The 12,830-nt window shown below is 33.7% G+C and overlaps 1 long non-coding RNA gene across 4 annotated transcripts in view; it reads right to left on the reverse strand.

Annotated features, from left to right (window-relative positions):
- Positions 1 to 3,536: 3,536 nt before the first annotated feature.
- LOC105370481 (uncharacterized) overlaps positions 3,537 to 12,830 on the reverse strand; it is a 64,726-nt gene continuing 55,432 nt past the window's right edge. For 3 of the 4 annotated variants that reach the window (XR_001750754.1, XR_001750755.1, XR_943828.2), the window contains one exon: positions 4,038 to 5,402. This is a non-coding gene — a long non-coding RNA (uncharacterized LOC105370481). Of the gene's footprint in view, positions 3,564 to 4,037; positions 5,403 to 12,830 lie in introns of those variants that run through there. The other variant, XR_001750753.1, reaches the window with a different exon arrangement.

Consider the following 12,830-nt stretch of genomic DNA (forward strand, 5'->3'; position numbering starts at 1 on the left):
CTTCATGTTTACTTTAACTGTCAACTCTTATTTAGAGACTGCAGCAATTATTTTGAACTAATTTCCATTCTCCTTTAATCTCCGTGCTACATTTCATCCTAGATATATGACAGGTTAATCTCATTTTCACTTCACAACTCTTATGCTCAAAGGTCTTTAATAACTCCTTACTAATTTCTAGTTTTGGTTTAAACCTCTCTGCCAAGGGACTCCTAAAACATGTTCCCAAATAATCATTCCAACCTTTTCTCTCAGTGGTACTATTGCACATATCCTGAGCTGCAATTATATTTAACCAATCACTTTTCTTCCTGTCCAGGAAATTTGAACAGAAGTCTTAAAGGTTCCTGAACTGTTAATACCCTTACAAAAAGCATATGGACACCCCTCAAATATTTCTGTGGTTTGTCTTGCAGACTTTGCAATAGCAATTGATCAATGGATGTCTAAGACATCTTTGAAAGACAGAAGAACTGACCCTCCTTTTTACATTCCTTTTTAGAAAAACTAGCTCCACCATCCCTGGATTCTGCCCATACTGGGGACAACATTAGAGAATGGTCTATATGGAATACACAATACCAATGGAAATATTCCCTCCCTAAGCAGAAGACTGAAGCACTTTTCAAGTAAATAGCTCTTCACCTATATCAGCATTTCATTTTATCCACCAGTACATCTAGAACAGCCTATATTCTCTTTAAAAATAAGAAGTGATTTTATAAATGAGTATCCTAAGCAGAAATAGAGAGGATTGCCTTAATTATGCTATCCTTAAAACAAGTCCAACCTTCAGTCTGTAAATTCTACAGAAATAACATTATTTGACCCCAAAAAATAGTAGATTGTAAGTCAACACAAAGCTTCCCTTTTGTGAATGCATTTTAGTATTCCAAGAAATAGGAAAGAAAAAGTATTCACCAGAAACTCCCAGGTACAATATCTGGGATGTGTGCACACTGTGGCAAAGATACAGACACCCCATTTAAACCCTAATTTTTGTGGTGAGTCAATTGTGGGCTGGTAGCAAGAAGACAGGTTCATTATATATACTTCCATGTGTTCCTTTCTCTAATATAGGTTCTGAACAATGACGGGTCAAGTCTGGACGTGGGCCAACTTTATTCTAGACAATTTCCCAGAAAAGTTGAAAATAAAGACCTGGGACATAAATTGGAACCTGAATTAACAATCTCATGGGACAGAGTGGTAGCCTGGTACAGGGGTCTGAACACATCAGAAGAAATATAAATAAATAGAGGAATTTTAAACCAGCAAACAATCACTAAAGTGAGAAAAGAGATTAAACTCATTTTAGCCATACCAAGTCTCAATAAGATTTACTACACACATGTCTTTTCTAAGTAAGTTACTACCAGATATCATGTTGCATATTAAGCAAGGAAATCAAGGCAGAGGAAAAAAATAAGATGTAGAAAACAGTGCATCTTCACTAACATCCTAGCGAATAAAAGTCCCAAAGCCCAGTTTTATATAGAGGAATTTAAATGGTCTTCAATACCGTTATCATTAATCATAATCATTTGTACAAATATTTGTACAATATTTATTGTCCACTTATTATATTCAAGGTGCTGTTTAACATATGCTAACTCCTTAAATACACACACATTCCTATAAATTGGATACAGTTGAGACTAAGTTGTCCAAGGAAAACTATAAGTAGGGACCAGGCCACCAACACTGGCAGTCTAATGCCAAAGACTCAATATCATCTAGTAGTCAGCTATTATTTAATTTGTCAAAAATCACTTGGGTATAAATAAGTGCCCCAAAAAAGGAACATTAAAGTAAAATAAAATTATCTGAATCTAGTATTAAAACTATATATCATATAACTTCTGTTTGGCAAACTAGAAAAAATGGTCATTACCTTGAAATAATTTACTTATCCAACTACACAAACCGATTATCCATGAAAAAAAAATTCTCATTGAATTATTAAGTCCCCTGTTTCTCCAAACCTTGAAACTTCAACATTATGCAATTTTCAGGTCCAATCTGTAAAACTGCATTATAAATTTTATTATGTTTTGTTTTACCACATCAACCACCAAATAATCTCATTTGGGTATATTTAAGAAGGGACCTACCTTATAATATTTATTACAGTAAACTTATATCTATAGTGAAACACCACTCATAATGGAACAATTATTTATCATTTTCATTGATTCAATATAAAGCTATAGCTAATAAAATATGTGAGTTTTACTATATGTTGCTTTATCTTAAAAGTTATTTTTGCAGGGCACAGTGGCTCACACCTGTAATCTCAGCACTTTGGGAGGCCGAGGTGGGCGGATCACGAGTTCAGGAGTTGGAGACCAGCCTGACCAACATGGTGAAAACCCGTCTCTACTAAAAATACAAAAATTAGCTGTGCGTGGTGGCGCACACCTAGAGTCCCAGCTACTCAGGAGGCTGAGGCAGGAGAATTGCTTGAACCACAGAGGCGGAGGTTGCAGTGAGCAGAGATCACGCCATTGCACTCCAGCCTGGGAGACAGAGCAAGACTCTGTCAAAAAAAAAAAAAAAGTTATTTTTGTAAAGTAAACAGTTGTTTTATACAAAATTTATTCATAACCTATTACATTTTGCAAATAAGTAGCTTATGCACATTCTTAAGTTATAACATCAATACTAAATAATTAAGAATGAGTAGCTAAGGAAATTGGAATAAATTTCCTTAGAAAGTAGAACATATTTTTAAAGGTAATGTATGACAGAATTCTTTGTATATGTCAGGATTCTCTTAATTGTTACCAGAAAAGCAGCTCAAGCTAAGTTATTTATAAATGAGAGTTGCTATAGAACACCAAGGTAGCTCAGAATAAAGAAGCCATCATTATGAAACATGAAGATGAGAGCAACTCTGAAATCATCAGTTACTGGATCGAGAGACAGGAACAGTTTTAAGATTATCTACATTCATATTTTTTCTTCTTCATTAAAAAAAATTATTCTTAATTGACAAATAATAATTGTATATTGTTATGGGGTAAAATGTGATTTTTGTTCTATGTATTCATTGTAGAAGTTTAATCAAGCTAATTAATATCCTATCACCTAATTTGTCATTTTTTGTGTTGAGAATATTAAAAATTTATACTTTCAGTAATTTTGAAACATACAATATATTATAATTAACTGTGGTCACTGTGTGGTGCAATATATCACTCAAACTTATTCCTCTAGTCTAACTGAGACTTTGAACATTTTGAAAACATTTTCTCTTTCCCCATCCCTCCTTCTTCCCTGACCAGCCTCTGGTAACCACCCTTCTATTCTGTTTTTATGAGATTGACTTTCTTAGATGACACATGTAAATGAAATCATACAGTATTTTTCTTTCTGTACCTGGCTTATTTAATTTAGCATAACATCCTCCAGTTCCATCCATGTTGTTACAAATGATGGCATTTCCTTCTGTTTTAAGTTTGTATAATACTCCATTGTGTATACATATCACATTTTCTTTATTTATTCATCTATTGATGGATACTTAGGACACTTCCATATCTTGGCTACTGTAAACAATGCTGAAATAAATATAAGAATGCAGATATCTATTCAACATACTAATTTCAGTTCCTTTCACTGTATACTCAGAGATGGGATTGCTGGGTCATATGGTAATCCTATTTTTAGTTTTCTGAGAAATCTCCATAATACCAAAATAGCTGTACTAAGTTACATTTCCACCAACAGTGTACAAGAGTTCCCTATTTTCCACATCCTTGCCAACACTTGTTATCATTTGTCATTTTTCTAATAGAAATTCTAACAGATGTGAGTTGGTATCTCATTGTGGTTTTAATTTACATTTCCCTGAATATTAGAGATATTGAGCATTTTCTCATACAGCTGTTGGCCATATCTCTATTTTTTGAGATGTCTGTTCAGTTCCTTTGCCAACTTTTTAGTTGGGTTATTTGTTTCTTTCCTGTTGAGTTGTTTGAGTTCCTTATATATTTTAGATATTAGCCCCTTGTTAAATGTATGCTTTGTAAATATTTTCTCCCAATTTGCGGTTGTCTCTTTATTCTCTTTTCTTGATTTTTTTTCCTATGGCTATAGTGATTTCCATGTAATAGGGGAATGGTTTTAGTTGGCCAAGAGTTTACAAACTCATAAACAAACAACTAGAAAGCAAAGGTAATTTCCTTACAGGACAAATTAAAACAAAATTAGAGAAAGACTCTGGCTCAGGTTGTGTCATACAGCCAGCCATAAATCCATCACTGTGGCTGTGGGGGTAAAATGCTAATATTAGCTACTTTGAGTCAGATATTTCAGTAATTTCCCCTGGTGTCACATGACCTATCCCCACATCCCATTCCCTTGCCAGCTCTGATTTCAGCTGCAGCAACATTAGACAATGCTTTGAAAGTTCAGACTTATTCTGGAACTATTTCACCTCAACCTAAATCCAGCTGTTATTCTGCTTTCATTCTCAGGGCCTTCATGAAGCCATAAGAGCCCATGTACTTAAGAAGCCTGGTAAGATAGGGAAGTCAATGTTCCAGAGAGCAATCCTCCATCAGTGGACAATGGGAACTGGGGAAGGGGAGCTTTTGATAATTCTGAGAAGCCCTAGTTTCCACAGTGGTAACCAGATTAATAATGCACCTCTATGTTGATCTTTCCCTGTATCATTCTTGCCATTCCCTCATTCTGGCTTCATGATAATGTCCCAAATAAACTATCCTTTCCCAGTTCTTATCTCAGGCTCTGCTTTCAAGGGAACTCAAACTAAGATGCCATCACTTTATCAATTATTTTATCCAGGAAATTTGTTTTCTCTTATTTTTTCTTCTAATCAATTATTTTAATTTTTTTAAAAATGCTGGTCCCCCTTTATTCACCAACTTTAAATTTTGGTATGGTTTCCACATCTTCTCTATCTATGCTGTCTGAATAAATTATATGCACTCTCATGTCTTTACAAATCATCTGTAAATTTGGTGATTACAAATTTATATTTCCAATTGAGACTTATTCCTTGTATTAGACTTTTTACCCAAATGACTACTAAAATTGCTTGACAGTCTATTAGGCATCTTAGAATTAGCATGTCCAAAGAAAAACTCTCAATACTCGTTCCAAACGTGCTCTTTTCACAGTCTCCCCAACTCAATACATGCCAACTCCATTATACCAGTTATTCAGGCTCCAAAGCTGGTGTGGTCCTTGAAACATCTTTCTTTCACTTTCTACATTGAATCAATCACCAAATTTCAAAATATACCTAAGATTCAATTACATCTTACCACCTTTACTTCTAGCAGCTTGGAGAATTTCAGTAGTATCTTAAGTGATCTCCATTCTCCACCATTGCACTTCTAAAGACTCTTCTCCAAACAGCACTGAGAATGATCCTTAGAAACATACATCAAATGTTAACATTCTATCATTCAACACGTTCCAACAGTTTACTATAGCATTCAGAGGAAAAGCTAAAGTCTTCATAAAATTATACATAATCTGAAAGTTTTTCTTCTATTACTGTCACCTACTTCACTTCATTCTAGCCACATTGACTTCTTTGCTTTACTTGAATAAGCCAAGCATATTTTCCCAAAAATCCCCACAGTTCAAACCTTTTCTTCCTATAGGTTCCTACTCATGTCACCTAATCAGAGAGGACTTTCATGAATACCATGTATAAAATATTCCTTTAATACGTCTCTCCATATTCCTTTCACCTCTTTAGTAAATGTCATTGTACATAATACCAGTTGAAAAATACATTTTTTCTTTGTTTGTTGTCTTTCTTTCCTCTCTAGATTTTAAGCTTTATGAGGGGAAGGAATTTTCCACTTTTTTTACCTCTATAGTTACAACACCTCCAAGAGAGCTTGACATGTAGTAGGCTCTCTACTTATATTTGATGAGTGAATGGAAGAAGATGGATGAAAGAAGATAGTTCTAGTTCAGTTCATGTGACTGAATCAGTAAGTCAGAAGGGAGGAAAGGAAGTACTACTAAATGAAACCTGAAACATGAGTAATTTGGGTAATTATTGGTAACCAATGGGAGCAGAATGGTGCCTTCCCCATCCCCACTGGAATACAATATAGCCCTTTACTGTTACTGGAATTGAGTTACAAATGTGAATCTATGTTTTTCAGGGACAAACACACACACACACAATTAACAACATCAGGGGGATAAAATATATGAGAGCTTTGTGAAAAGCACAACAAATTTTGGTTTAAACATGGAGAAAATGTTTTTCTTTAGGCCTCAAAAAAGAGGATATTATGTAAAAAACAGCCTCAAAAATACAATTACAGTAAATATAGCAATATCACTTTTTATTTATTATGCCTATGGTTTTATATGTAACAAGAATGCAATGTTTTCAAGATACTTTATTTTTTATAGTTTTTGATGTTTTTTAAAAAAATGTATTCTTGATAATTCATCTGAATTGAAAATTGATCATTTGATAGACAAATATTACAGAGGAAACCCAGTGGTTAATGACAATTGAATGTACTACAGAATCTATTATAACTTTCAAAAATTGTAATTTAAAAATAAATCTTCCTTTATAATATCTTTATATTCCCCACATCAAAATGCTGCAATCAACCCATTGTATCATTATGAAAACTGGATTAAAATCCATCCATCTTTTTTATTACAATTCTGAAGTGTTTCTCAAATCAAGGAAAATTTAATAAATCTTTTCAGGACTTAATAAAAGAACAGAAGATTTATATATCTAATAAAAAATGCATTCAGTTCCAATGGTTTTATTTAATTTGTTTTCATATGTCTTCTTATCACCTATTAGATATCATTTTGTTTCTCAAAATCCAGAGTGGAAATCACTTCTAAAATAATTTTTATAGAAAAAAATATAGATTACTCAGGTATTCCATATGTCTGTCCTTTAAAAAATGTGGAAGATTTGAGAGTAGCTTGCACAATCAGAGGACATCAGGGGAGGGTCTATTTGGCTATTGAACTTCAGATCAATTTTGCGATTTTAACACTGTTTTTTTCATAACTCATACAGATTTCCTCTAGAGAGTTTCAGAGAATGAAGAAGAGTTAAAATTAAGCATTTTGACATGCATTTGAAATTCATTTCTGTAGCTAAACTACAGAATCCAAGCCTCCTCTTCTTTTTGTTTTCAATAGCAAAGAGGCTACCTTACTGATGAATATTTCATAACATGTCAAATTGTGTTGTAATCCTTCTTTTCTCAAGGAGAAATAAGTGTAGGTCTCATTTAAAAGCTCTTTTGAGTATTTATAGCTCATCAATTAAGAATTAAGAGCAATTAAAGAGGAATCTGTAAGGTTAACAATTTGCTGATAATTAGAATATGCCTATTCCGAATATAAGAATCTGAGGATTTGAATAATGGGGGTGGCTTTGTCTCCTGAAGATAATATTGGATGATGATGGTAATATTAATTTCCTTTAACAAAGTATGCCCTTCCTTTGAGGACCAGAAGAGAAGTTTTAAAACTGATATGGAGCACAAAATAAATGAGAACTCAGCACTGGCATAAGCTTTCTTAAGCCACATGAGTACTTCATTACAGCACTTACCAAGAGCACTATGCGATGACTACACCAGAGCAGACTAGAAACCTTTACTCTAGACCCTCTCTCATTTAACTAATTATGTGACCTTGCACAAACTCCTTAACAGTTTGGAGTCTCATTTTTTTATTTTTATAAAATACCAGGAACTTTCACCAACAAGCTCTGTTCCGGTTTAATACCATCCTTTGTTTCAGAAGTAATATACATGAAGTTTTCCTATTGTGTTTAATATCTAAAATATATACAAAATTGTACATTATTGTGAACATGAATGGTTTACACATATTCTAAGCTCAAATCATCATAGGACTGTTGGGCTTCTCAAAATAGAAATATTTGTAATAAACCCTAAAACTCATGAATGTTACAAATAAAACAATACTTTAATAAATTATAGAATTTCTTTATTTTTTATTAATATCTACATACTGTAGTATCAAGATGGAAAAAGAAAATCTAAAATAGCTGGGCCACATGATGCCTTATCTCCTGATCATAAGTATGCTTTGAATTTAGCACTGTTTATATTATTTAAATATGCCTTTCTTTACCTGCAAATTTTACATCTGAGGGAATATATAATTTTTCCCTAATATTTATATCTGCCTTTTTCTAAAGTCAATCTTAAGTCAGAGTTTATGTATAAACTTCACAACTGCCTGCTTTGTCGTATCATTACATTCTTGACAGCTCATAAATATAGTCAAGTGGTAGGTTAAGACTGCAGTTATTCAATTTGTTTAAATTAGTTGCACAAATAAAATCTTCTGGTACATAGAAAAGCCTTTCCATCACCATATCAGTGTGCTCTGATGATCAGTGTGCTCTGATGATCAGGACTTAAAAAAAAGTATAAGAAATAAACAAAATGATATTATAGTAAACAAAGAATTATGCATCTTTTAATTCAATCAAATTCTCTATTTGAGTTCCCAGTATGATAGGAAACAAATGCTGGTTAGAGAACCAGATGGACAAACAGATTGAAAAACATGTTAAATAAAACATGTCCACTAGTGTTTTCTAGTATTTACACGTCTAGTCTTCAACAATTATAAATTAATCAAACTTTATCTTTTCCAATATTAGTCTTTTAAGTTAATACCTTTTCATGACCAAATTATTTCTCTACATTAAATATTGTACCATATTAAAATGCACAAATTGTATCATTACCTCAGTCCCATCCAGCAGAAGGAATTTTTCCCAGTATTTTTTTAAACAGCAGTGAACAAAACAGACAAAATTACCCTGCTTCATATTTGAGGGTGAGGGGCAACAGACAACCTAAAATAACCAAGACAGCCTTACCATTCTCCTCAGCTTGACTAAACTTTAGACAGTCTTCTTCTTGCACCAAGGCCCCCAACTGCCCTTTCTCCCAGGTCCTTACAGAATCCAGATGACCTAACCACTGAGGTTCCTCCACTCCTTTGTCTTAGAGCATTTACTTTAGAAAACTTATAATTGCAAATTCCTTATCTGCTTCTTTTAGATATAAGTATTCTTATAGCCTTTTGCCAGTTTTACAACCCAGGGCTATCTTTTTTTGAAAATTTTTTTCTTTACACTTTCAAATGTAATTGTCAAGAAAGATAGTGTCTCTATCTCCTGCTCTCTTTGGGAGCGTAGGAGCCTGACTTAAGTGGGTGCCTTGGTTCAAGTTGTAATACTACCTCACAGCATGAAAATTTAAAAAACTTTACTTTTTCTTACAGTAAGCTCAATTAGCTAACACAGAGGGCCTTTGATTTCTCCCACTCCAGCTCTTAAAAACTCTCCAGTCCTCTGTTTCAGTATAATTGAGTTCAGACTGTGCTTTGGTATCTCTACCTTATTGCAATAGCCTTGAATGAAGTCATTCTTACCTATTTAACTTTACTTCAATTTTTGCTTTTACAAACAGTATATGTAGGTTTGTCAAAGCAAAACCTTTGTCAAAAGAAAACCTGTGGGGTGAAAAAAATAAGCAGGGTTTAGGGCACTAGTGCTGAGAAATATGTCTTCACAATTTTTAGAAGACTGGCCAACATAATCTTCAAGGAAAAGGAAACATTTGAGCAAAAACTTGAAGGTGAAGAACAATTCTTGTGGAAGTAGCCTTCAGACAGAGGAAACAGTGAATTCAAAGACCTTAAGATGTGAATGAAGATATGCAAGATGGTCAGTGTATTCATAGTGAAGTGACAAGGGCAGAGAAATACAATATAAAATTATGGAGTTTACAGGTGCCAGTAATACAGGACCTTGCAGGCCATTGTAAGGATTTCTGCTTTTACCTCAAGATAGAATAAAAAGATTTCATGGAAGACTTTGAGCAGGAACAGGTCATGATCTGAAAGTTGTCATGGAGCACTTTAAGCAGGAACAGGTCATGATCTGAATTATGTTTTAAAGGGGCCACTGCTGTATCAAAAATAGACATTCAGAGACAAGAGTAGAGAAACAAGGAAACCAGTTAGAAGCATATTGCTATAATTAAGGAGAGAAAGAGAGAGAGAAAAAATGGTTCTTGAGCCAAAGTAGCATGGAGATGTTAGGAAGTGGCAGGATTCTGGTTGTATTTTGAGTGTTATTTGAATAGAGAGTCAATATCATTTCCTAACAGATGGAGTTATAAGAATAAGACATGTCAAACATGGATCGAAGTGTTGTTATTGTTCTGTTTTGTGTTTTGTTTCTTTGTATTTGTTTTTTTGATTTCGATGTTTTGTTTTTGTTCATTCCTCCTTGAAGCATTGTGTTCCCATTAACTGAGATGGTCAGTTTGGGGAGAAAGTTCAGGAGTTCAGTTTTGAACGTGTTAAGTTAAAATATTTGTTACATTAAAATACTTGAGGCCGACAGCATAAATGAGTAATAGAAGCATTGATTTCAAAATGTTAGTTATGAGAATCAATAGAGGTTTCACATGAATAGTTAGTAGCCCTGTGCATAGCATATAACAAGAACCTTAAAATGTTAATATAGTATTACATACACAGCGGTAGGCCTGGACCGTGTAAGACCCAATGCTGCCTTTGACTACTCTGAAATAAAATTTATAAGTAATATAATCTATCTGTATGATTAAAAACATAAAGCTCCAAGTATGCTTTTAAAAATAATCTCAATAAATAATCTTATTGTAGATGTTCCATTACAATGCTAAATAAATTAGAAGTCAGGAGGCTAGAAATAATGTAAGATTTTTATAATAATATCTATTAGTGAAATATAAAGAACCTCTGGGTCTGACGTTTCCATGCTAATTTAAAAATACTTCATTTTAAGTTTATTAAAAACATATTTCTCTGTTAAATATTTTCAATAGGACTTACTGATTTTGTACTAAGTGTGTAATCAGGCTAAAATATTTTCAATTTTTATTTAGTTGCCAATGCCATAATACAGTAGAATAAACAGTATGGTACAAGTTAATACATTATTCAATAATTTTAAGAAAATGTCTTCTCAAAAATTAAGCTTTCTTCTTCATGACAAGCTTTCTGTCTAGTCTTGGAATTCTTATTAAAATTGAACTTGATAAAACTTATTTTAAAATTAGATATTATTGATATATATTTGTAGTGGGTTTAATATGGCAGGATATTTAAAAATAATGTTGGACAGAATATAGTTCCCTGATTTACAGGAAGTATAACATCCCTAGCCCCTATTCACTAATGCCAGTAGCATCTCATCTCTATTACTGTAATAGCTAAGAATACCTTCACAAATCTTCAAGATGCCTCTATCATGACCACTTATGTAGATGAATAAAATAGAGGCCTATTGTCCTTAAATTAGAGGAACAAGTTCAGCCACTCCTATAAATAATTACCAGTTATGTATTGAAAATATCCATTCCTTTCATAAATATTAAAGCATTTAAACAACCTAATTGAACATTCATTTCTTTTACCTGTAGTTGGCAATAGTATTTCTCATCTTTTAACTGAGAATGCTAAGAATGTATAGATGCATAATTTAATTTATATAAAGTATAAATTAAATATATAAAGTATATTATATATCCAATGGAATATCTTTACTATTGGTAATTGTACTGGACTATAACAGCATTCATGTTAGCAAAATGGAAGGTAATATTCTTCAATCAGGAAACTAAAAATATATGATTGATGTTAGTCAAAATTTATAGATTATTTACTCTATGACAGGTATTCTACTAGAGAGCTTGCCTATTATATCAGTTGGGGTCCCATCATTCTGATTGAAATTAGGGAACTCATCTCAATGGCAGCAACTCTCATCATTATCCTCAGCCTACAGAGACAGCCACCCAGAGCTTTTCAAGGATGCTCATACCCCCTTATTTCCCGCTGCTTTACTGAAAGAAGACCTTCTGGTCTTTCTCAGGGTATATAATAGGGAATTAATATGCAGAATGCAGATGATAAAATCTACCTCTGCATTTTCATTTATTTAAGCCTTTGGATTTTTTTCTCTGTATTATCCCAGGGAAGTTTTAGCACCTTACTCTTATTAACATTAGGCTACCACTGACCAAGGGTTTCAGCCAAACATTCAAGCAAACTCCTTAAACTAATACATTAAATCCAAAATATCTGTTCATGTGCTACTATACCTATAAATTGGACCAGTCAAAGGTATGCTCGTTCCTGCTTGAACTAACACATGTTGCATTGGTAGGGGTTCTCCAGAGAAACAGAACCAACAGGAGACAGATAAATAGATGATAGAATGAAAGAAAGATGGACAGATAGATAGATTAGAGGAGATTTTATAAGGGAATTGGCTCACATGATTATGGAATCTGAGAATTCCTACAATAGGCCATCTGCAAACTGGAGAACCACGGAAGCCAGTAGTGTGGCTCAGTCCAAGTCAGAAGGACTGAGAGCCACGGTAGCCAGTGGTATAAATCTCATGCCTTTGGCCTCAGACTGAGACTCTGAGGGCCACTGGTGCAAGTCCTAAGGTCTAAAGGCCAGAGAACCTGGAGTTCTGATGTCCAAGAGCAGGAGAAAATGGATGTCTCCGCTTAAATAGGGAGAGAAAGAGAGGGTCAGGGAAGAGAATTTGCCTTTCCTCTGTCTTTTATTGTTCTATCCAGACCTTCAGAGGATTGGATGGTGCCACCTACACCGGGTGAGGGTGAATCTTCCTTATTCAGTCCACTGACTCAAATGCCAATTTCTTCAGGAAAAACTTTTAGAGCCAAACCCAGGAATAATGCTTCACCAACTGTGTATCCTTTAATCCAGTCAAGCTG

Source organism: Homo sapiens, chromosome 14, assembly GCF_000001405.40.
Source record: "Homo sapiens chromosome 14, GRCh38.p14 Primary Assembly".
NCBI lineage: Eukaryota > Metazoa > Chordata > Mammalia > Primates > Hominidae > Homo > Homo sapiens.